Source organism: Homo sapiens, chromosome 7 (genome assembly GCF_000001405.40).
Source record: "Homo sapiens chromosome 7, GRCh38.p14 Primary Assembly".
Lineage (NCBI taxonomy): Eukaryota > Metazoa > Chordata > Mammalia > Primates > Hominidae > Homo > Homo sapiens.
Window position 1 is genome coordinate 79,766,528 of NC_000007.14, and position 26,700 is coordinate 79,793,227.

Here is a 26,700-nt window from a genome sequence, read left to right on the forward strand (position 1 = left end):
CACGCTTTTAAATAATACTACACAGAGAATGTAGTGGGCTCATTAACTACAGTAAATGTAAAAGAGAAACATACTACTGAAGTAGGCATATTTTTAAAATTATGTTCCCACTCAGGATAACTTTTCTCTCTGCATCTCAAATTCTTATATGTACTGCAGACATACTAAGATGCAACTGTTAGGAACGTATTAATAAAAAAAGTAAACAGTAAGAGTGACACCTTTTATCTAATGAGCGCTTTGTGCCTTCAGTTCTATCTTGCTAGGTCATCAAACCAGAGAGAGAAGAGGCACACCTGTGTTTTTTGAGACAAAAACTAAACAAAATTTCTCTGAGGTCAGGAGAAATAAGGGTGACCAATTGAGAACTATCACATTTTTCCTTACATAAAGGGATTCATCCTTCTGTTGTAACTTCATCTACACCATGGAATACCATGCAGCCATAGAAAAAGAATAAGTGCAGGACCGTTGCAGGGACATGGATGAAGCTAGAAGCCATCATTCTCAGCAAACTAACACAAGAACAGAAAACCAAATACTGTATGTTCATACTCATAAGTGGGAGTTGAACAATAAAAACATGTGGACACAGGGAGCGGAACGTCACACACTGAGGCTGTGTCCGGAATTGGTGGGTTCTTGGTCTCACTGACTTCAAGTATGAAGCCACGGACCCTCGCGGTGAGTGTTACAGCTCTTAAGGTGGCACATCTGGAGTTTGTTCTTTCTGATGTTCAGATGTGTTCGGAGTTTCTTCCTTCTGGTGGGTTCGTGGTCTCGCTGGCTCAGGAGTGAAGCTGCAGACCTTCGAGGTGACTGTTACAGCTCTAAAGACACGGTGTCTGGAGTTGTTCATTCCTCCCAGTGGGCTCGTGGTTTCACCGGCTTTAGGATTGAAGCTGCAGACCTTTGTGGTGAGTGTTACAGCTCATAAAAGCAGTGTAGACCCAAAGAGTGAGCAGTAGCAAGATTTATTGCAAAGAGCGAAAGAACAAAGTTTCCACAACGTGTAAGGGGACCTGAGCACGTTGCCGCTGCTGGCTGGGGCAGCCTGCTTTTATTCTCTTATCTGGCCCCACCCACATCCTGCTGATTGGTAGAGCCCAGTGGTCTGTTTTGACAGGGCGCTGATTGGTGCGTTTATAATCCCTGAGCTAGACATAAAGGTTCTCCATGTCCCCACTAGATTAGCTAGATACAGAGTGTCCATTGGTGCATTCACAAACCCTGAGCTAGACACAGAGTGCTGATTGGTGTGTTTACAAACCTTAAGCTAGATAGAGAGTGCTGATTGGTATATTTACAATCCCTGGGCTAGACATAAAGGTTCTCCACGACCCCACCAGACTCAGGAGCCCAGCTGGCTTCACCCAGTGGAATCCCGCATCGGGGCTGCAGGTGGAGCTGCCTGTCAGTCCCGCGCCGTGCGCCCGCACTCCTCAGCCCTTGGGTGGTTGACGGGACTGGGCGCCGTGGAGCAGGGGGCGGCGCTCATTGGGGAGGCTCGGGCCGCACAGGTGCCCATGGAGGGAGTGAGAGGCTCAGGCATGGCGGACTGCAGGTCCCGAGACCTGCCCGCGGGAAGGCAGCTAAGGCCAGGTGAGAAATCGAGCGCAGCGCCGGTGGGCTGGCACTTCTGGGGGACCCAGTACACCCTCCTCAGCCGCTGGCCCGGGTGCTAAGCCCCTCATTGCCTGGGGCCGGCAGGGCCGGCCGGCTGCTCCGAGTGCGGGGCCCGCCAAGCCCACGCCCACCCAGAACTCCAGCTGGCCCGCAAGCGCCACGCGCAGCCCCGGTTCCCGCTCCCGCCTCTCCCTCCACACCTCCCTGCAAGCTGAGGGAGCCGGCTCTGGCCTTGGCCAGGCCAGAAAGGGGATCCCACAGTGCAGCGGTGGGTTGAAGGGCGCCTCAAGTGCCGCCATAGTGGGAGCCCAGGCAGAGGGGGCGCGTAGAGCGAGTGAGGGCTGTGAGGACTGCCAGCACACTGTCACCTCTCAAGGCCTGTCGTGGGGTGGGGGACAGGGGGAGGGATAGCATTAGGAGAAATACCTAATGCATGCAGGGCTTAAAACATAGATGACCGGTTGATAGGCATTTTTATAGATAGCAAATTGGAGAACAAAAAGCACAATGGGTTTTTCTCTGGAGCAAATTGTCCTGCTACACAATGGTGGTTAAAATTGATACCATTCTTGTAAAGGAATAGCCTCAAATGTCTGTGTTAAAGACCCCAAGCAAATGCTGGCAATTAAATGAACAATTTTATAATTTTGTTCTAGAGTACAAATTAAAGTTTAAATAAACGTAGTGTGCATCAATACATTTATTTAGAACAAACTAGTTTTAACCTGAGTCAAAGTTGAGCTCCTATTTGAGAAGTTTTCCTAATATAGCCAATAAAAGAGTTTTGATTAAATTATAATATTTTGGTAAACATAGCCATTTAACATTTTTACTCTGATTGTATAAAAGGAGTGTTGCAAAAAAAGCCAGTTAGACACTTGTTTTATTGTCTCGTGTTTATGATATTTGTAAGATATTTCAATAAATTTGTGCATATATAGGAATATATATGTACTATTTTTACAAATAAGAAAAATATGAAAGCTCAGAAGAAAAAGGAGATTAAATTATCTACTAAATTCTTGCTGGGTATGCAATCTTCCTGAAAATGATTACCTTGGGTCCTTTCTGCCTGTTGTATTCCTTGAAAACCCTTCACCCAGGGTTTCTTAGCTAATTAAAGGTACAAAATAATTACTGATACCAATCATCTTTGTTCTGCATAAATGTCTTTTGTCTTAATTTTAGGTCCTGGGGTTTACTGACCAGTGTGGTTGCTTTGTTTGCAACTTTTAAATGCCAGTGTATTTAAAACTAATTCAGGAAGCATGTTTAAAAAAGCAGATTTCTAGGAACCACACTTAGAGATTCTAATACATTACGTCTGTAGAGGCCCTAGGAATCCGCATTTTAATTTGTACCTGCAGCTCATTGTGAAGTTGGCCCACAGGCAAAACTTAGGGAACCTTATGGATACTTCGTAAGAGTGATAAAGAGTTGGGCAAATGAAGTAAGTTAAATAGTGTATTGTTTCATGGCCCAGTAGTTTCTTAAATTTCATAGTAGACTTTTGTTCTTCAACAGGACCTTCGCAGTTAATATAAATCTGAAGGTTAAGCGCACCTATAATTCATAAGCAAAAAAGGGAGACCATCACACCTTTTCCCCTTGGTTCACTGTTAATTTGATCAGAGAGACTTAGAGGGATGTGAAATGGCCAAAATTTTAATAGCAATCATTGGCTTCTGATTGGCATGTTAGAACTGGTGCAGTATGCCAGTAATCTTAATTGAGTGAGCACTTTCCCAGACAGATCTCTTTGCCACTTTTAGGCCATTAGTATCTGTGAAGAGCCAGATCAGGAATTGCACATATAGCAGGTTGGAGCTGTGATAGGAAGTGACTGAAGTCACCCAGTAGGAAACTAGAGGCATTAATAAATACTGTTGGCTGATCAAACTTGATATGCTAAAATTTGCTATTTCAGAACATTTTGAGGTTAAAAGAAAAATTAAAAAGCCACATCTTTGAAGGCAACTGAGTTTATGATTAAATTATGCTTTAAATTGAGTGTGTGTGTGTGTGTGTGTGTTTTCTGTTACTAGCACTCTGACCAAGTCTGAATTCACCAATAAAAAGAGGATAATGATGCCTATTGTGTAAGACTGCTGTGAAGATTAAAAGAGGTCAAAAACTAAAAAATGCTTGGCAGAGCACCAGGAAAAAAAAATGTGTACAATTTTATATGTATTTTCTTCCTTGTTCCAGTTTGTTCGCTATGAATACATTTTGAATCTCCTTCCTCAATTTCGGCTTGTGTGTTTAAATCTCCTTTTTACTTTTATTCAAAAAAGATTATTGGTAGTTTTTTAAAAAAGTGCTAGGGAATAATCAGAATATAAAAGAAAATTGAATTGTAGCCTGTTGTAGACAGGATTTTTGATACTTGTTTTCTGTCATATAAACAGTATTTATTTTCCCTTTGACAACTTTTGAAGCAAATGTTCAAATAAACCCAGATATCTTTTATAGCTATTGAGTGCTGTTAATTTTACTTGGATATTATTAGAAATAAATTTATACTATTTTATTTGAAAATCATAACATACACTTAAATATAATTTTACACATTTGTACTGAGAAACACATATTTACATTTTATTATGAAAATAGGATGTATAAGAAAGAAAATAAGTAACTTTCTAAATACACTTGTTTTCTATAAGATGAAGCCAGCTTTCTCACCAATCATTTTTGATTTTAGATTTTTCACTTACAACTTACCTTGGTTTAAAATGACTTAGAGCTCATTTTTTAAAGACACAAATATGTTTTATGTAGGTGATGTTATTCTATTTGCGCAGAGCCATTTAACCACCGCAATAAAGAATGATACAAAAAGTTTAGATTAAAGAAAGTTTGGATTAAACACTGAATTCTTGGTAAAAATATTTCATGATAAGAAGTTGAATACTTATACAAATCATAGCCTAAGAACAACATTTGAGGGGTCATCAGTTTAACTTAAATCCTTTTCAAGTACATTTGGTTACTAACATGAAAGAAAAGGCTTTCATCTGAAGACAGTTTCAGTTTCTGAAGTTGTCCCATACAATTGACTTCTCTACATTGTTGTTATGATGAATTTCTAATACAGCCTTAATATTAGGTTGGTGCAAAGGTAGTTGTGGTTTTTGCCGTTTACAATGAAGACTTCAAAAATCATCTGATATGATGAAATATAAAACCCTTCAGGTATTAATACACAAGTAAAATTATAAACTCTCTTGGGGGTCTGAACTTACATTTTAACTCTTTGATGTAATTTGAGTGCTCCCAACTTAAAGTACCTTTTAAAATTAAAACATTTGTTAGAATATTCTAAAATCAAAATCTGTAATGAAAAGAGCCAAACTACGTGATTATTAAGACCTACAATGTTTCATTGTAGAAATAAGGGAAAACTGGCTGGTAAATCTGCCATTCAGCTACCAGCTTTTATACTAATTAGGAAATCAAACTGAGGGCTTGCCAGCAGTGTTGCTTCATTTAAAACAAAATATGAAAATAAATGTGTATATGAGAAACTTGGGTAGACCCAATTGAGTAGAAGACATTGTCTGAATAGTCACTGCTTTTCATCAGATAGGGATGCATTTATTATATTTGTATTCTCTACTCTCTACATTTGAAAAATACTCCTAGTGAAGAGCATTAACTTTAAAAACATGACTAGGAATAATGTTTGCTTTTTTTTTCTCAATTCATGTTGCCAGCTTCTAAAATGTCTCGGTACAATTAGGTTATTTATAAGAAGTGATGTATCCTTAGACTGTGTTATGAATTATATCTCTGGAGAGATAGAGAGTTGACCAAAAATGGAAGAAGGTTAGAATAATAAGTTTTTGAAATATTTCATCATTAAATATTTTCTTTGAGTACCACAGTTTTTTTTCTTCACTTCTTTTAGTATGGAAATTGATCATTTCTTTTAAAACAAGTGTGGCTGCATGTAATTTAATACTATAATTCAACTATTTATAAATTTTTATCATGTGTTCCTTTCCAAAATTCATGCATGTAAGATTACAAATGTGCATATTCTCAGCCAATTCTGCTATTTCCTACAATATATTTATGAAAGACTTATTGGCAAATGTAATCTATAATGTAGCTCACCTAATGTACAAAATGTAATACTTGGCTAAAAAATATTTTTCAAATAAAAATATTTACTATTCTTTCATGAACTGAAATGTAATGTTATAAAATACTTGTATATGTTAACTATTAGGAAAGTATAGAATAAAGCTTGAAGAATGCAGGCGTTATTGAAAATAGTCAAATTTTCAATAAGCTTCCAAGAATATTGCAGTATTGCAGATATCTACATTTTCTTCATTTTAAGAACAAGAATCTTATTTAACTTGGTTGAATGAACATAAGGCCCCGGGGATATCATTTTAGTGTCACTTCATGTCAAACCAATACATTAAAACCAGTGTTCCAAATATTCTAACCCATTCAAGCAAAAAACATTCACCAAAGTAAAATGCAATGTAAAAGGTACTATAGAGTGTTTCAAAGTAACAACTATCCTATGTTAGTCACATGAATATTTAGAATAAAGGAAAAAGTAATGAAATGGAAACATGTAGAGAAAGAGAACTCTGAATATGCTTAAATGTGTACCAATAACAGTCAATCTGTAAATAACACAAACTCATATATCAGTCAACAACAAGAAGCTTTGGTTGATAGAAAAAGGAGTCCTAATATAAAATTAATTTCTTCTGTTTCTTTTTCTTTTGTTTTGTTTTAAATTTGTTCCCTAGATCTGTTTTGTGGAAAGGAAAGGAGTGGCTCTACTGAACATCTGTGATACCCAGCTGCACATTGGCATTTGGGTAAGATTTGATTGATGGCGTACTTGAACGTAGATTTACAAATGTGGCCCAAGGCCAGTTTTCCTTTATTTCTACAATGAAGCACTGTAAGTCTTAATATTAAGTGTTTACTGGAAAGGAGAACAAGAAAGCAGTTTCTAGCAACATGCAGAGAATGAAAACAGGTGAATTAATCAGTATTACTACCTACCCATAGGTCCCACAGCTTATCATAGATATTCCAACCATGAAATACTAGCTACTCAATAGCATAGAAAAATTGACTTAAAATAGCCTGCCAGTGCTATTACCCTGGTGCTGTCAATTGGATACTTTCAAAACTTCTGTTTTGTCTGCTAATCCTTTTGTGGGGTTTTTTTTGTATGTTTATTTGTTTTACATATGGGTGCTCTCTTTGTTAAAATTTAAAAGGTATAATGTAACATGGTTTGATTAGAGCCTTCTAAAACAGTACATCGAAAGCCTTATGGTCTAGGAACTGTTTATGAGCTTGAGAATGGTTACAGAGTAATAAACACTTTTTTTTCACCTTTGCCTAAAATCTGCGTATCTGTCTATACAAACAAGAAAATCTTGTTAATTCTGTTTTCAAACCTATTAAATTAATGGGAGAGATGGCAACTAATATTTGGTACTTTTCCACAAAAGTTTGAAAGGATGGCTAAACTTTACCATAAGGTAAATAACAACACAGTAAAATCACAGTTGAAATTGACAGATGTGGAAAGGTGAAATCCATGTTGTTAATTTGCTGGAATCACTTAAACTTTTAGAAATATGCCTTTACTTCCGTCATTGAAAGACTTTCCCATCTACAAAGCAAAATCTGATATTTTTAAAAGATCAGCTTACCAGAACTATTATTTATTTAACAAGAGAAAAAGATATTCCTAATGTAAGACTATACTTAATTTTAAAATGGCCCAAATTCTTCATCATGTTTTGATTTGTATCCCGATAATGTCAAGAATACCTCTTAGCCCTTATAAAGAGATTACTCATGGTTTTTCTCCTTAGTGTTCCCCATGGAAATTTACTTTATTGGACATATTATGCTCTTCTTATTTCTAGCTTATCTTGCTTTTTTTAAAACACTATTTGATAATATAGATAATAATAATAATATGACTACATATTGGCATAGCTCTTTTAAATTAGCAAAGTTTTCTTGCAGACATAATTTAAAATTATAATCACATAAATTGTATAAAATATATAGAATAGGAATGTATATTAAAATTAGCCCCATAAATGGATCAAATTTGTTAGCTAGATAATAGGTAAGAAAGAGCTGGAGTTGGAACTCTGAAAGCCTAACTCCAAGCTTAGAGATTCTTCCAGGTTGACTCACCATGAGTGGCTTCCAAAGCATGCTTCATATACCTTTTCTATTCACTTATGTAAGTATCTCATAATTTTACTGAATATAAATTAGAAAGTATATCATCAAAAGTGATCAGAGACTCTACATGATCAAAATATGGATGAAATTAGAGAGAATCTCTGTAAAAAGTTTTTGTCCAGAAACATAAATATCCATAAACTGCTAAAACTTTGAACATAATTTTTATTGTTGTTATTTAAGATTACTCGATTCGTTATTTCAAATTCTAATTGACAACACAAATAACTTTTAGACTTTTAAGGGAAATAAGTTAAATTCTAACACTTTGGAAAAATAAAGGTGAAAAGCAAAATTCCAGTATGCTCCAAAATATAAAGGTACTAAACAAACAAACAAAAGCAAATATGCACTTACAAATACAGAAGAGCATTTAATAAAATCTATTTATGAGCTTCTCCACAAACATACAGAGTTAATGTAAATAACTCTAATGCTAACATGTAGTGTTGATCCCAATACTATGGTTATTGGTAATTCAATAAAACATTGACTTTTGGAGGAAATAATAATCACAAATTAAGGTGAATAATATAAAGTAGAGTAAATAACTAATATTTGCTGAATTTGTTTTTGTGAGGTTATTCTAACTTATTCTCATAAAGGAAAACAAAAATGTATCCAGAATAATGTAATTATATAGACCTTGAATAAGAAACAAGAAGTCTGTTTAATAGTAAAAATAAATTTATGTGTTAAGTTAGGTAAAAAAAAAGTTTAGATGCTGAGATAGAATACTTTCCACTTTTGTGGTTGACAAATGCCAGGATTATTTTATAAAAATTACATTTTGTAGGTCCATTGCTTTCACATTTCAGTTGTCATGATAATGTTAAGTGTATAACATCCATCATAAATTTAAAAGGGCAAACACAATGTTCCATTTGAAAAAGACTTTGATAATTTACAGGAAAAAAAAAACTTGAAGTCTATACAAGACTTATACAGAATTCTTAACGCTTTTAATCACAAAAGCATCTCGTTCATTCCCTCAGCCAGAGACAATGAAAACAGAATTTTAAGTCATTTTCATCTAGGCTTTCAAAAATTTGAGAGCCATGCAGTTTTATTTTTAAAACACTGATAAGTAATTATACATGACTGAGATGCTCTACTTTTGCAATATTAACCCTTGATGGGTTTTTAAATAATCTATACATGAGCTGTTCACTCTTTAGCAACATTTTATGTCCTCTTTCAGAAATGCTTCCAAAAGTTGGATTTTGAATTGTAGCCTGCGTCGAAATCAATAAAATCAGGTAGGGCACGGTGGCTCATGTCTGTAATCCCAACACTTTGGGAGGCCGAGGCTGGCGGATCCCCTGAGATCAGGTGTATGAGACCAGCCTGGCCAACGTGGCGAAACCCCATCTCTACTAAAAATACAAAATTTAGCCAGGCATGGTGGTGCATGTCTGTAATCCCAGCTACTTGGGAGGCTGAGGCGGGAGAATCGCTTGAACCCAGTAGGCAGAGATTGCAGTGAGCCGAGATCACACCACTGCAATCCAGCCTGGGTGACAGGGCAAGACTCTGTCTCAAAACAAAACAAAACAAACAAAATCCATAAAATTGTGTAGGGAAAACTTGCTTTCACCATGTTTTTCCTCTACCCTCACACCACAGCAATCATCAACACAGAAAACTTTTGTGACCAAATGTGTGAGGGTTTTTTCCCCCACATACCAAGCAGCAGACACCAGCTGGTTGTCGTCTAGCTCAGTTCCAACACTGTCTACCCAGAGATAGTCTCAGATCCCACAGGCTGAGGGCTCGGTCTCCAAGACTGCTCCCTCACACCCACCCAGTCGCAAGTCTGGGCCTACAGAAGTTCTGATCAATCAGCTTCAAGCTGGGGTTCCCATGAACCAAATCAAAGTTTGGTTTGATTAATTTGCTGGAGAGGCTCAAAGAACTCAGGGAAACACATTTACCAGTTTATTAAAAAGGTTACTGCAATTGATACAGATGAAGAGATGCATAGGGCAAGGTATTGGGAAAGGGGCACGGAGCTTTCATGCCCTCCCTGGCTGTGCCACCCTCTAGGAACCTCCACGTGATCAGCTCCTGAAGCTCCCTGAACCCTGTCCTCTTGGGTTTTTATGGAAGCTTCATGACATTCACATTCCTTCCTCCAGTTTATAGGGTGGTACTCTCTCATGGGAGGGTCCTAAGACCCACAGTAAGAAAGGTGGAGAAACATTACAGTGAAAGGAAGGGAGGAGAAGGTCAGAGGCCTGCCCTGAGGCCTAACACAACCAACACTGTAACAAAAAGCTGTAACAATGCCTATGGGAGTTATAAGCCAGGAACCATGGATGAAAACCAGTGTATATCATAATACTACAAAAAAACAAGGAAATTTATCAGTTAACGATATTGCTGGGCATGGTGGCTTACACTTGTAATCTCAGGGCTTTGGGAGGCAGAAATGGGAGGATTGCTTGAGGCCAGAAGTTTGAGATCAGTCTGGGCAACATAGTGAGATCCCATCTTTACAAAAAATAAAATAAATTAGCCAGGTGCACTAGTGGTGCCTCATGCCTGTAGTCCCAGCTACTTGAGAAGCTGAGGTGGGAGAATTGCTGGAGTCCAGGGGTTCCAGGCTGCAGTGAGCTGTGATCATGCCACTGCACTCCAGCCTGAGTGACAGAGCAAGAACCTGTCTTAAAATAAAAACAATTAAAAAAAAGTTTCATAATAACATTTTTTCTTGTCATTCTGCTAAAAGTGTTACGATCTACTATCAGGTAGGATAATAATGAGTCAATAATGCATGTTTGCAATGGAGAAACTTATATTTGCAGAACTTCAGAATATAAAGTAAAGTTAAAGGAAGGGGAGGAAAAGCAAAAGAAAGAGAAGGTGGTATGATAGGAAAAGAAGGAGGGGGAATAACATTTCGAATTCCTATGACATTAATACATTCATTTATAAAATAAGTATGAAGTATGTTTATTGTCAAGAATTAAACTAATGTAGAATATATTATTTCATAATTATTATTAAATTAATCCAAATTTGTATAAATAAGGATTTAAATTATTATTAAATTAACCAATTGTTTAAATTTTCTTTACTTTTATATTAAAATAAATGACAAAGAAAATTAATTTTTCTCTTATTAGTAACTTACAGAAGCAAAACGGCAAAGTTAAATGGGTTTGAAAACATTACTTGAAACAATAGTAAGTTATTTTTCATCAACATTTGGTTGGATGATCTAAGTCCTTTTGAACTGTCGTACTATCAGTCCTGATGGAATAGTGCATCCATTTTCAATGATGAACAATGGATTTTAGGGCTTTGGCTCCTTTCCATGAAGTATAGAAAAGGAGTTGCAGAAAATAATGCTGTAAAACAAAACCAGCCAGGAGTCAGAGTGAGGAGATCCTTTTACTTTTTTTTTTTTTTTTAATAGGTGTCTTGGATATTTGGGTCATGTTCTAAACTTAGCTCAGAGATGTAATACTCTCTAGTAGGGGGCTCAATTTTCAGTCTGTGGGTAGGAGATTTCTAAAGATTTACTTTCTGAATTCTTAAATCAATTAGTTATAATGTGTATTCTTTAGCTGCAGAGCCTTCATCCCAATTCTAACACAAGAAGCATAACTCTACAACCTTTGTAGTATTTAACTTGTATCATTTTCAAGAGAAACTGGGCATTGTCTTACAGAGCTGGTACTCAGGATCGTAACATGATTTTTCTTCCTTTTTCTCCGTGGGAAATGTCTACCCCATGGTGTTTAAACATGACATTGTAAAGAATAATCAGTACAGACTTTAGCTGAGCCAGGCAGTTACTGTTTTCTTTTGAAATAGATGATCAATAACATTCTCCCCTCTTGTATTTTCTTTCCCTCTTTTTCAAAGAGAATCAGGAACATAACTACTTCTAAATATAACAATATAAATTTATAAAGGAGCTATACTGTTAGGTACCAAGAAATGTGTAACTTTTGTGTTAATTTTCTTCAATTATAATTGTCTCAGAAATGTACCCTGCATACCAAAAATGGGTTGAAAGCTACTGCAGCACATGATGTCCATGTTGCAGTTGGCCAGCATCATCTTTGTTCACTATTTTTGAAGCTTTCTGAGACAAAATTTTGCCTGCCTTCTTCCCATCCTCTTTGCCTCTCTCTTACCTCTTGCATTTGACATTTTCCTTTCATCTCTCTTCTTTCTGTATTTAATTGATCATTTAAAAGTCCTGTTCTCCTTTTCTTACTTGATCTCATCTTTCAGGAGTCTCCTGAATCCACACATGGCAAATGTTTCAAATTTACACATTTTAATAGTCGCTTGAGTGGTGTATGAAGGAGTGGGAAAGACAGCAGACACTTTATCTGGCCTTTGCATTGTTCCTCATTTTGACCAGATCACCATCAACAACTCTGATCAAGCTGTTCTCTTTTAGCACCAAATTTAATTATTTTCTAAAATCCAAATACTTTGTTTGCAGAAAAGTGGTTTTTTCTTATCATCTCTCTCTATAATATTTTTCATCCTCTGATGATTCTGAATCATTTCTAAGTAGTGGCATCTTTGCTATGATTGTAACTCATAAACAGCATCCGAGTTATGCAACATGGCTTAGGTAGAGAAAGTGGCAAATATTTTTTGGCACTAACCAAATTTCCTATTTCTGTTTTCATAGTCTACATACAGAAAGAAAACAAAGCCCTGAGCAAGAAACCTGCTATGTGGGTGTCAGTACCTTGAAAGCCAGGATGGGTACAAGTTGTTCAGAGGCTTTAAGCATATCAGTTAATGTCTTCCCCAAAGCCATGGTCAACCACAATCTGCAGAAGTATGCTAAATAGGCATTGTGCAAGTATTGCTCATTCACAGGCAAAAAAATTTCCTTTCTGTTCTTGCGCAGTCTTACATGAATAAGGAATTGGAAACAGCTTCCTGTGCTACACGAAACAGAACTCCTGGGTTAAAATTAGTCCCAGCAATGTCCGTAATTAGTGGTATAAGAGGGCATGTGTTGCTAATCCTCTCTGGCCCTCACTTTTCTCATTTTGGAGGTTGTTCTTGACCAAAAAATATATGGCATTAAAGTTTTAGCAAACGAAAGCCATTTCTCTTTCTTCCATGACTGAATCTGAAATGAGCTGGGGCTGATAGAAAATTTTGTCTGTGTTAAGAAATCACGCTGTTACTTAACTACCACCACCACCACCTCACCCCTCCAACCAACCACCACCAAAACTGATTTACTTATTTATGTATGTATTTATGGAGATGGGGTTTTGCTGTGTTGCCCAGGCTAGAGTGCAGTGGCACAATCGTGGCTGACTGCGAATCCGACCTCCCAGGCTCAAGTGATTGTCTCACCTCAGCCTCCTGAGTAGCTGAGACTACAGGCATGTGCCACTACCTGTGGCTAATTATTTTTAAATGTTTTTTCTATTTTTTTCTCATTAAGTATTTTTATTTTGGAAAATATAGATTGTTTTTAAATCACAAATATTTATGTTCACATGTTATGTGTTTATGGGTTTTTTTGTTTTTTTTTTCTACTTTTTTATTGTTATACTTTAAGTTATAGGGTACATGTGCACAACGTTTAGGTTTGTTACATATGTATACATGTGCCATGTTGGTGTGCTGCACCCATTAACTCGTCATTTACATTAGGTATATCTCCTAATGCTTTCCCTTCCCCCTTCCCCTACTCCACGACAGGCCCCAGTGTGTGATGTTCCCCTTCCTGTGTCCAAGTGTTCTCATCGTTCAATTCTCACTTATGAGTGAGAACATGCAGTGTTTGGTTTTTTGTCCTTGCGATAGTTTGCTGAGAATGATGGTTTCCAGCTTCATCCATGTCCCTGCAAATGATATGAACTCATCCATTTTTATGGCTGCATAGTATTCCATGGTGTATATGTGCCACATTTTCTTAATCCAGTTTTTTGTAGAGGCAGGGTTTCGCCACAGTACTCAGGCTGGTCTCAAATTCCTGGGCTCAAGCCATCCTCCCACCTCAGCCTCCCAAAGTGCTGGGATTACAGGTGTGAGCCATTGTGCCCAGCCCAAAACTGCTATAAAACCTTGCTTGTAAGAGTGATTTCCATCTCACTTTGGAACATTTGGTTTCTGATCACAACTGATTGGACCATAGATGGCTATCTAATCTAAAAGCAGGCAAGCCAAAGCATGGCCCAAATTGCCTGGATAGAAAGGATAAATTATATGGATTTATTTTTGTCTAGAAATATAGAAGAGCATGGAACAGTTTGAAATTGCTGAAGTTGAAACAATGTGAGAGGAGGACATGAGGTGACTGGGCCAAATTTTTTAAGAAACCTTAAATAAGAATAAGATTAGAAAGCAGTAACTTTAATAGATAGCCCTATGAGATAGGGATAAAAATGGGAAGTCCAATGTAAGACAAACATGTAGTAGTAAAGGAGAGTTAGAAGAAAAAGTCACACTGAGGACACATGCTAGAATAAATCTCCAGGGGCCCCTCCTGGGTTCCTTCTTAGAGTGCCTCTTCCTGTGTGCTGATTGTTACTAATTTTCTGATTTTCATTTAGGGGAGCCTTCTATACTAAATTTCGTATTCCTTGGGGCTTCCAAATAAAGTTAAAATCTTTCAACCCAACTAACTTATAGTAAAAGAATCATTATATGATTTTTAAACTCCAAACTCCATATTCCCCTATGGTATTTGCATTTTATTAATTCCAAGATGTTTATAATTGAAAGAGTATTTAGAAGATATTTAGAAACAGAAAATTTTGCATGAATATTACCTACTCAAGAACTTTGCTTCTCATATCCTCAATAACAGCACCAACTTGACAAGAAATCCTGTTCACAATGCTACTCACCCACCAAAGCAAGATGACATTTATATTATGTGTACTGGAGTTTTATTGGTTTGATTGATACATCTCCATGTCCTACCATTAATACAAACATAAACATGCAGTCCTATTAAACTTTATCTTCATGATTAAGATATTACATATTAAATAAAAAGATTTTAAATTTTTACCATTCCTAATTTAAAATTAAATTTATCCAGGTGAGAATATGTCAAAGAAAGATCATAAGACTTTTGCTAAGAAACATATTTTAAATGTCACCCCTAAAGATTACATTTCATTCTTAAAAAAAGAAAACCATGCTTTCTATATTACACTGCATTGGGGCATTCATGATTAATGAAGACATTTGACAACCAATGTTGAATTTATTTTTTATTTTAGAAAAAGAGTAACATATGCAAGATAATATGAGAAATAGAAACAGAGTAGAAACAGAAGCCTGTTTGATTCAAATGAGGAAAAATATGTCGACGTTGACTTGACACTATACATACAAAGAAATAAACAGCAGAGATTACAGCAGGGTCCAGCGTTTGCTTGGAGAAAACTCTTGATCTTGTGTAGTCTCTATCATATTCCTTGCCCCTAGCCAAAATAAACAGAATCTGCGTTTTGTTAAGCAAACATAGGTTCAGTATAAGCCCTAGTTTTCACTTGACCTCTTGTTGCTATATTTTTCTTCCTAAAGATAAATCAGCTACTAAGCCCAGACAGAAACCATGTCTGGGAAACATCAGGAACAGCTCTGATCCACACTTTGAAGTAGATAAGGTGGCTTTCAATAGTCCTCATTTCCCTTTTTGTCCTAGTCTTCCTATCCTGGTATTGCTGCCTCCCAGGTTTCTGACCAAAATGTCATCCTAATCGTTCCTTCTTGTTATTGTTGTTATAATCTTTCCTTCTTCACCCTTTTCCCCCGCACTTAGACATGTGGTTGCCAAACTTTATCCTAATGAAGTAAACTCTGCTATGTAGAATCAGTTCCTAAAGTGTGAATTAATTGGCCAGATAAATGAATACAAGCTAATACTCTCTTAGATGATCATAGTGTACTGAAAAAAAAAAATCTTCATCTGTATGGTCAGAACCGTAGGTGACTCTATTATAAGGGATTTTGATAAGCCTTAATTCAAACAGAATTTTCAGGCTTTATATTCTGTTTATATGTTGGGTCAAATGGTAGCTCGGTTTTAAGTTATTTGAGAAATGTCCAAGCTGTTTTCCACAGTGGCTGAGCTAATTTACTCCCACCAACAGGGTGTAAGTGTTCCCTTTTCTCAGCAGACTCTCCGACATCTGTTGTCTTTTGACTTTTTAATAATAGCCACTCTGACTGGTAGAAGATATTTTGATTTGCATTTCTCTGATTAGTGATGATGGTGCTGTAAAAACCAATACTTACCATCCCCCAAATAACCTATTGTCTGAGTTTTAAAGTCTAAGATACAGATGGTATCATATATCTTAGACAATTATATTAAAAAGCTTTGCCATCAGATCTATTTCTCTCTCAACAAAAGGTTTTTTCTTCCAACTTTTATTTTAGATACAGGGAGTACATGTGCAGGTTTGTTACATGGGTATATTGCACTCAGGTAGTAAATATAGTCCCCAGTAGGTAGTTTTTCAACCCACGCTCTCCACCATAGTCCACAGTATCTATTGTTTCCATGTTTATGTTCATGTGTGCTCAATGTTTAGCTCCCACTTATAAATGAGAACACATGGTGTTTGGTTTTCTGTTCCTGCATTAATGCATTTAAGATAATGGCCTCCAGCTGCATCCATGATGCTGCAAAATATATGATTTTGTTATTTTCTATGGCTGTGTAGTATTTCATGGTGTATATATACCACATTTTCTTTATCCAGTCCACCACTGATAGGCACCTCCATTAATTAAATGTCTTTGCTATTGTGAACAGTGCAGTGATGAACATACAAATGAATGTGTCTTTTTGTTACAATCATCTATTTTGCTTTGTGTATTCCAGTAATGGAATTGCTGAGTCAAATGGTAGCTGTCTTTTAAGTTCTTTGAGAAATCTCCAAACTGCTTTCCACAGTGGCTGAACTAATTTACATTCTCACCACCATCTCACTGGTGTGAGATGGTATCTCATTGTAGTTTTAATTTGCATTTCTCTGAAGATTAGTGATGATGAGCATTTTTCATATATAATATTGATTGGCTGGCTGCTTGTATTTCTTCTGAGAAGTGTCTGTTCATATCCTTTATCTATTTTTAAATAGAGTTTTTTGTTTTTTGCTTGTTGATTTGTTTAAATACTTTATAGATGCTCGATATTAGACCATTGTTGGATGCAAAGTTTGCAAATATTTTCTCCCATTTTGTAGGTTGTCTGTTTACTCTATTAATGGTTTATTTCACTATGCAAAAGCTCTTTAGTTTAATTAGGTCTCACTTGCCAATTTTTGGTTATTTTGCAGTTGCTTTGGGGATTTTTCAAAAATTCTTTTCCAAGGCTGATGTAGAGAAGAGTATTTCCTAGGTTTTCTTCTAGAATTTTTCCAGTGTAAGGTCTTACGTATAAATCTATAATCCATCTTGGTTAATTTTTTATGTGGTAAAAGGTAAGGGTCCAGTTTTATTCTCCTGCATATGGCTAGGAAACAATCCCAGCACTATTTACTCAGTAGAGAGTCATTCCCCATTGCTTGTTTTTGTCAGCCTTGTCAAAGATCAGATAGTTGTTTAAGTGTGCGACTTTATTTCTGGGCTCTCTAATCTGTTCCATTGGTCTATATTTCTCTTTTCTGTACCAGTGCCGTGCTGTTTTGGTTACCATAGCTTTATAATGCAGTTTAAAGTTGGGTAGTGTGATGCCTCTTGCTTTGTTCTTTTTACTTAGCATTGCTTTAGCTATTTGGGCTCTTTTTTGGTTTCATATGAATTCTGGTATAGTTTTTTTTCTAATTCTGTGAAGAATGACCTCGTTAGTTTGAAAAGAATAGCATTGAATCTGTAAATTGTCTTGGGCAGTATGGTCATTTTAATGATATTGATTATTCCAAACCATGAGCATAGAATGTTTTTCCATTTATTTTTGTCATCTCTGATTCCTTTCAGCAGTGTTTTGTAGTTCTCCTTGTAGAAATGTCAAAATTTCTATGCTTTGTTGTGTATCACAGGAAAAGGAAAGACAGTCACTGAACTCTGCATTCTCTGGGATCCATGCTAGTGGGTCTCCACCTGGGTTCAGTCAATGACAGACATTGTCAGGAGGTGAGAGAGTGAGAGAAAGGGTCAGTCAAGGATATATTCCTCTCTCTATTTTCTGTCTAAAATGGTGTCTTTGGCAAAAGCTGTGCTTCTTCCCAGCCTCTATCTCCCTCTAGAAAAGCCCACCCTGATTCCAGCTTCCCCTAGATTATTATGATCTCTGAATTCTGGTGACACTACTTGTTCCCTTTGGCACTCAGTCCTAAGGGTTGTAGTAGTATTGCTTCTTAATCTCTGGGTAACCTTACAGATTTCCTGTTTAGTATTTCAGCTTTTTCATTCCTTACCTCCAAAACCAGTTCCTTGTATTAAATCCCTGCTGTTTACAATCTAAGAGTGATTTTTACAGTTGTGTTCTTCACCGATGTGAAGTCCTAGAGGTGACAATATTTGTATTTATGTGCTTGCCTAATAACTATTTATTCCATACATTGGCACTGGCTTTTAAATTTTTCAAATGAATATGAGATAGGCAGAGATGATGAGACTTTGATTGCTGGTTATTCTTCCAAATTGTTTATCTGAAAACTGCTAGGTAGGAAGATCTACCAAATACCCATTTTTATGTCAGTCTGAAAAAAACAAAACAATTAAATCCTTTGAGAGAAATAGTAATGTTTTTGTCTTTGACACCAACTTATTCCTTATTGTAAATAATGATCAGATGAGTAAAAATTAGTAATAGCTAATGGAACAATTATATTATTGGGTGTCTATTTCCTCAGGGGTTGTCCTGATACTATTTAATTGAACAATCATTTATTGAACTAGTCTGTGCCAAATATTATGCTAAACCTAGGCATATAAAAATGAATGAGGCACAAAACCTGCCCAAAGGAAGTTCAATCTATTAGAAGTATCAGATAAACAAGTAAATTTTTAATACTGAGTAATAATGACAGGATGGGAAAATATACAAGGTGTGGGAAATGTAATACATTCAGAGGGATTGAGCAGGAAATGTTTTCTGAACTAACATCTAAGTAATATTTTGAAGAACTGATATCATTCCAAGCCAGGCACTGTGTTAGAGAACTAAGTGAGAGGAAAATAATGAAAGGGTTTGCTTGCCATTATAATGAGTCAGGGATTCAATATCTTCTGAACAGTTAAAGGTTATAGGTATGAGATAAACATTCAGACACATGCTTTTGAGTTACATTATGAAACAAGCATAAAGAAAGAAAGGCTGGCTAAGAAATTGATGTGACTGAAACATACATCTCTGGACTTGACAGTAATGAGAACACGAACCAAGGCCACAGGAATGGAAACTGGGTGGGAATGATGTGTTCAAGAGATATTTAGAAGGTAGAGTTTCGTGCCATTATGACTGTTTCAGTGCACTGTATTAGAGAATGAGGAATACTACTCAGACGATACTAATTTATTCAAGTATTTTGTAATCCAACACTAGATATTATCCTTGAATTGGAAAACAAATGGGAATTAGAAGTCTGTAATAAGCTCAACACGGCTGAAATTTTTTCCAGCTTTGGCAAATTGTTAATTGAGGCAGCAAAATGAACTGATTAAGAGGAGGAATTCTGAAGCCAGAATTTCTGGCTTTGAACTCATGGTCTGCCAGAAAATATTCATAGCTGTTTGTTGAATAAATGAATGAATAGATGAATAAATAAATACCAAATAAAAAACAGATTAAAAATGGGAAGAAAGACAAGTACTTAGAAACATACAGGTATTTGATATCTTAGCTAATATTTCTGCAACTCACTTTCTTTATCTATGGAATGGGATATGGAATAGAAACTACTTGTCATGGTTGATAATTGTCTTAGTCTGCTCATACTGTCGTAACAAAACGCCACAGACTGGCTGTCGTAAACAACAGAGATTTATTTTCTCTTGGTTCTGGAGGCTGGAATGTTGAAGATCACGGTTCAGGCAGGGTTCAGTTTCTGGTGAGAACCCTCTTCCTGGCTTGCAGATGGTGCCTTCTCACTGCATCCTCACATGGCCTTGCATGCACACAGAGTGAGATGAGAGAGACAGAAAGAGAGAGAGATAGAGAAAGCTCTTGTGTATTGTTTTGTAAGTAAACGAATTCTATCAGATCAGGTCCCCACTTCACTCATTTAACCTTAATTATTTCCTTACTCCAATATGGCCACTGTGGAGGTTAGGGGTGGCCATATTCGATATATGAATTTTGGGGGAATACATAGATTCAGTCCATAACAATAATATATCTAAAGAAATTGGAACAGAGCCTAATGAGATATTATTATCATCTTTATACCTAGAATATTTCTACTAAAATATACCTATGAATGTCATTTCCAAAAAGATAAGGATTTATGTCCATTTTATTAACAACCGAATCCAAAGTTCCTGGAATAATGCAAATAGCAGGTGCTCAATAAGTATTCATTGAATGAATAAGAGAGTACCACTAATAGGCATATACAGTTGTAGTTATTCCTTTAATAAGCAGATAGTGCTTAGTATGTGACATACATTATTCCAATACTTTATATAACTCAATACATTTAATCCCTGTCATAACTTCATGAGATAGCCTAATTGCTTCCTTTTCACAAATGAGAACTCTGAGGTGATAAGAGGTATCACTGCTTGTCAAAGGTCACATAGGAAATAAATGGCAAAAGTAGTATATGAACCCAGACACTATGGCTCTAGAGTTTCATGCTATTATCGATGACACTACAGAGTTGGCTCTAGGGTCCACAGACATGGCTGTAATGACAGTTCCCAAGTAAAGGGTCTCTTTTTTATTTAGGCAGAGTGTCTTAATTGATATGTTCACTGAAGGATCAAGTAAATTCAAAATGACAGCAAGCCTTTAATGATCTCTCCAGCTGGAATATTCGTTTCATAACTTGAGAAAAATAGCTGTGCTGGTTGCAGCTGAGATTCAGAAGATAGCAAATATCTCAGCATCCTGCTATTGCCAGTCTCACAAAGCTTTGGGTCTAAGTAGAAGTTGGTATAATATTCCTTGTTTTAATTATTTTGCATCTGTGCTACATTTTACTCTTGCATGTTTATTTCTTTCTGTCATACACCTTATTTCACCTGATCTTTGTAACCTCTATGTTTTGTACTATATTCTGCTATGTTTCTTATTTCATCTTCTTACACGCTATCCTTTCTGTTCATGCACTTTTTTCTTCCACAATAAGACTTCATTCTTTACTGTTAAGACTCACATTCTTTTTGGCTTCTTGCAGTTGTTTTTGTGATTTTCTTCATTTGTTTTTCTGTTTTTTCTTGGCTCTGCATGATAGACAGCGATTATTTATCAGCCATTTGTGGTTTCTTAACATTGCCAACAGGCTGACAATTTTCCCATTTCTTTCTCTGTGAGGTTTCTGAATCATCTTTTAAAGTAGTTCTCTGTACCAGAAAAACAGAATATCAAAATGCTGAGCGACAGTTTACATGAAACATGCACTTTGCTTTGATTGTCTTTTTCTGAGACAAAAACGTACCATTCCTGTGTTACTACAGTACCAACTTTCAGAACTGAAATTTTCTGCCAGTAAGTTAGTTCCTCTGGTCTAGATGATAAAAGCAGACTGATATTACAAGAAAACCATCTAAAAGTGCATATATTTTTAATTTGATTGTCCAGAAGGTATTCTGCATCCCTTTTCTATTGACATGCTGCTATGGATTAATGAATTTTCCTTAATATTCCCTATTGATGAATCAGAGGGCTTTCACACAAATAAATTATTTTATTCCCGAAAGTAAATTTATCCTTCTAAAGATTAAGAAGGATTAAGCTTTGAGTTTATAGTATCTTCGTATCTATATATAAATGCATTAAAAACACACACTGACCCTCACACACACACACATATATATATGTGTATATATGCATAAATATGTTTGGCAGGTATATAATAATTCATATATTTTATATATTATAAATATTATTTAATATGTTATATAAATATCATTTTATCTTTCAAACTTCTCCCTAAAACATTAACATTACATTCTTCAATATACGTGAATTTCTACAGCTATTGCATTGAAAAGCAAGAACATCAGTCTAGCCATGTTTTATCAAAATTGCCTCAAAATGCATTTTTTGTCTCAGCATCCTTATCTTATGATGAAGAAAGACTAAGCTTGTAAAAACCCCACCTGCATGGAGAATTTTTTTTCCTAGGGTGGAAAATATAAGGGAGAAAGAAAGCAACTCATATCTTATCCATTATGATTAACAGCCCATGCTAATGACATTCATTAAGCTAAATGAGCAGGAGAATGAGGACTCAAGCTTTCTAATTGAGGCAGATTTATTTTTAGGATGAAATTCTCCCAAAATACATTTTCTTTTTTAAAACATTGAGTGTCATTTCAAGGCATATAATTTAAACAACTGATTATGGATGGGATATGCTTTAGCCCTTTTGGAAGTATAAAATTATACAACCAGCAAAATCATCATTATCACTTTTATAGTTTTATTATGACTATTATTTATTACATGAGTGGATAAAATATAAAAAGGAAGGAAAAATGATCTTCATTAAAGTTAATGACTCATCTTAGCAATTTTGTTATTGAGTTAACTATTTAAGATCTCTTCTGCCCTAGATCTTCTGCTGAGTGAGAGTATTAGTCACATCTATTAAACACATACCTACAAAAATAGTAGCACCTTAGGATAAGAGGCTTGGAAATATGTTTTACATATGCTGATATCTACTTTGCTTTAAATTAAAAATATATATATACACATATTGACATACATATATGTAGCATATACGAATATTAGGAAGCCTGTCACAAATAACATAGGTTTTAATACAAATTGTACACAGAAGATTCTACATATTGAAAGTATTTTTATAATAAATATGTATACTTCTTAATGTATTACTGAAAGATCAATGGACTTGTCATTAAAGGATCTGAATTTAACTTATACTTCTTCCAGTATTAGCTTTGTATTATGGGAGAGTCTCTAAAATAGAGATAGTAAATGTGAGCTCAAATAATAACTTCCAAAATTTTTTTTCTGACTACAACAAAGTAATTTGTTTTGAGCAAATCCTCTTACAAAAAAAATTATGAACGACAAAATCTATGAAACAACTATTTGAAAGCATTAGAGATAAACCAACTGAGGCAGGATTTAAGGATCTGTAATCCTTGAGAGAATGGAAGAGCATAAGATGATTTCCACATTCATCCATCTTTTTCCTTGAAAACATTTTTCAATTCACTGCATCATAGAGCAGAGCCCAAGCAGAACCCAGCGTCTCACTTGGCTGAAAGTCAGTGACTGGAATTTAAAGCTGCCAAATTGGATAAGACTCAAGAAGCAAAAATCTTTGAAATGAGGAAACTACTATAATGAGTAAAAAAAATCTACAGGCAAATCCCCTTCTAGTTTTTGATTAATTACCCATCCTTGCACATGAAAAATGAAACTGAAAAAAGAATGATGAACAAAGGAAGAAGAAGGAAGGAAGGAAGGAAGGGAGGGAAGGAGGGAGGGACGGAAGGAGGGAGGGAAGGAGGGAGGGAAGGAGGGAGGGAGAGAGGAAGGAAAGGAGGGGAGGAAGAAAAGGAAAGAAGGAAAAAAGGAAGCAGGGAAGGAAGGAAGGAAGAAAAGAAAAAGACTAGAAATGAATATTAGCTGAAAGGAAACAACTAAACAGAAATTTTATCAGTTATATAATACCAGGGAGGCAGATGTTGAAGATCAAACCCTGGAATGATGCAAATATTTTCTCAAATACTCCAAGTCTTTTGTTAAGGCCCCAGAAAAACCACAACCTAGGACTAAGGCCACCTCCTAGGTATAAGGAACATGCTTAAGAGCAAGGACTACCATCTGAAAGTAACAGTGAAAGTGATATAGAATAGTTCTATATGTGTGAAATCAGCACACAACAAACTCAAGGGAAGTACTAATACAGTATTTGCTGTCAAAGAAAATCTAACCCTCCCTGGAGAAAAATAACGTGTTCCAGAGTTATTATAATTTTTCATCCAATGTGTTGAGAATTCAGTCAAAAATTACCAAATATATCAAAACATAGGACAAAATGACCAAAAATGAAAACAAACAAAAAAAAGGCAGGTAATAGAAGACCTAGAGTTGGTATTAGAATTGTCATACAAGGGCTTAAATATAACTGTGTGATTAATATATTCAAGAAAGTAAAGAAAAGAATGTTGGATTTTAACAGAAACATGAAATTACACACACACACAAAGAGATAGAGACTCAATTCAGAATTAAGTAGCAAAATACACATTATTTTCATATACCCTCGGATCTTTTGCCAAAGTAAACTGTGTGATTAATATTTTCAAGAAAGTAAAGAAAAGAATGTTGGATTTTAACAGACACATGAAATTACACACACACACAGAGATGGAGACTCAATTCAGAATTAAGTAGCAAAATACACATTATTTTCATATACCCTTGGATCTTTTGCCAAAGTAAACTGTGTAATTGACATTGAAGCAAGTCTAAACAAATTTTAAAAACTAAAAATAGTCAAAGTACGTTATCTAAACACAATGGAATTTAAATAAAAATCGGTTTCGCAGGCCGGGCTTGGTGGCTCACACTTGTAATCCCAGGATTTCGAGAGGCCAGGGTGGGAGGATCACTTGAGCCCAGGAGTTTGAGATCAGCCTGATCTCTCTTTTGTGAGACCCTGTCTCTACAAAAGTAAACAATAAATAAAATAAATAAGTTTCAGAAGGATAATTATAAAACTCCTCAAATGTTGGAAAATGTCATTTCTTATACATTTTATTCCTCCAAAAAATTAAACCTAGAAAAAAAGTAAATAATTCCCAAATATCCTTTACCTGGAATCATCAATTTTTAACATTTTGTTCTACTTGTGTCATTATTTCTCTACATCTCACAGATGTAGAGAACAATTTGAAATGAAATTGCATACATTGTGCCCCATTTCCCACTTGAAAGTCAGTGTTAGTTCTCTAAGACTAAGATGCTCTTATATAACCATCGTAAAATAATCAAATTCATGTAATCTAACATTAGTATAATATTTTATTTATGTTTCTCATACCAGTTTCTTCAACTGTCCTAATAACGTTTCTAGCCGTTTTTCTCATTCCTTGAACATATCTAGGATTATGTATGCATTTACTTGACGTATCTCTTAAATTGTCTTTTAATCTTTAAAGATTAAATCTAGAACATGTTTTAAGCCTTTCTTTAACTTACAGTACATTGACTTTTTTTTAGTTTTTAAGAACTTAGGTTTGTTATTTTAGTTGAATTTCCTTCAAATAGGTTTTGATGGTGTTTTCTTATGTTTAGATTCAGGTTAGGCTTTTTTTGTGGGGTGGAAATCTGTGTAAGTAATGCTGTGTCCTGCTTAGGATGTCATATTCAGACACACAGGATGTTTGTTCCCTGTTAGCGACCATGGCAATTTTGATTACTTGGTTGAGATGTTGTCTGGTTTATTGCCTATATAGTTATTATTTTTCTTTAAATATTTAGTTTAGAGAGAGATAATTCGAGGCAATGTAATTATTCTCTTCCTCATCAAAATTTTTACCTCTAAAGTTAACAGCTGTTGTTTCTTGCCTGCAAAATTTTTACTATAATGGTACAAAATGATAATTTTTTACCCTATCATCCCTTTTATGTTCATAGGTGAGAATTATATTGTAAAAAAAAAGATTTTTTATTATTTTCTTCACATTTACATATTTGTGTTGTTAGTATGAAATCATGGATTTTTACTTCAGTCCATGGATCATAATCCATGACTGTTCGTATTTAATTAGACATACAAGTTGTTCCAGATTTGGCCAAAAAGAGCCCCCCTTCAGTCTCATCCCTGTGTATTTTTAGTATGCTAATATTTTGGCATACTAACATTTCTGTTTGTTCACTTCCCAATTTGCCGGCACCAAAAATGATTCAGGTTCATCCTAACCATTTTTTCTCTAGCACTAAAATTAGCTATTTCTCCAAGAATCTCTAATGTCTTGTAGTGAGAAATGATATTTATAAAGAAAGATCCAGATTTCTGCATGCTAAATGTGCTTATTGCTAATGGAATATTGATTGCTTCGAGGCCCTTTCAAGGACACAGCTGGCTGGAGTTGGGCAGGGAAGTGAGGAGGCAGAGATAGATGAATAGATACTCAAAAAAATTCATTTTTGCCTTTCCCAATTCATATTTGTATGCTTCCATTTCCACAGTGAGAAAACTGAATCCCAATAATATCATTATATTTAATCATTTGCGCTATAATTACTATACACATAATAGTCATAATTGTTAAATCTTTAAAAAATAAAAACAAGTCTATTAAGATAAGTTTCAGATATGTTTGGAGTTCTTTTTTTATTTTGTCCAAAGGATATGTAGTCAAACAACTGCATTTCAACATCAATTGGATTAGTGTTTTTTATTTTATTTTATTTTTCTATTTTAGTGATGGGTTATTTTGAAATTAGATATATAATTGGTTCTTTTTTTTGTTTTTGCATTGTTTATTTTTGAATATGTACAGTATTAATATGATTTAAAACTGTAGTAAATGTTATACTCACTGAAATGTTACTTTCTGTATTATTTTTTTACCCTTTTCTCAACTCACACTTGTAGATAAACTAATATCATTATTCTTTTTATATTCTTGCTGTATTCCTTACTGTAAAATTAGCAAATATTTTAATGTTTTCTTATTTTCCCTTGTGACTTACATGGAAATAGCATA

The 26,700-nt window shown here is 35.3% G+C and overlaps 1 long non-coding RNA gene across 1 annotated transcript in view; it reads left to right on the forward strand.

Annotated features, from left to right (window-relative positions):
- Positions 1-1,497: 1,497 nt before the first annotated feature.
- The window catches only part of LOC105375371 (uncharacterized), a 71,222-nt gene continuing 46,019 nt past the window's right edge, over positions 1,498-26,700 (forward strand). The window contains exons 1-2 of the long non-coding RNA XR_927707.3: positions 1,498-1,602; positions 6,402-6,473. This is a non-coding gene — a long non-coding RNA (uncharacterized LOC105375371). The remainder of the gene's footprint in view (positions 1,603-6,401; positions 6,474-26,700) is intronic.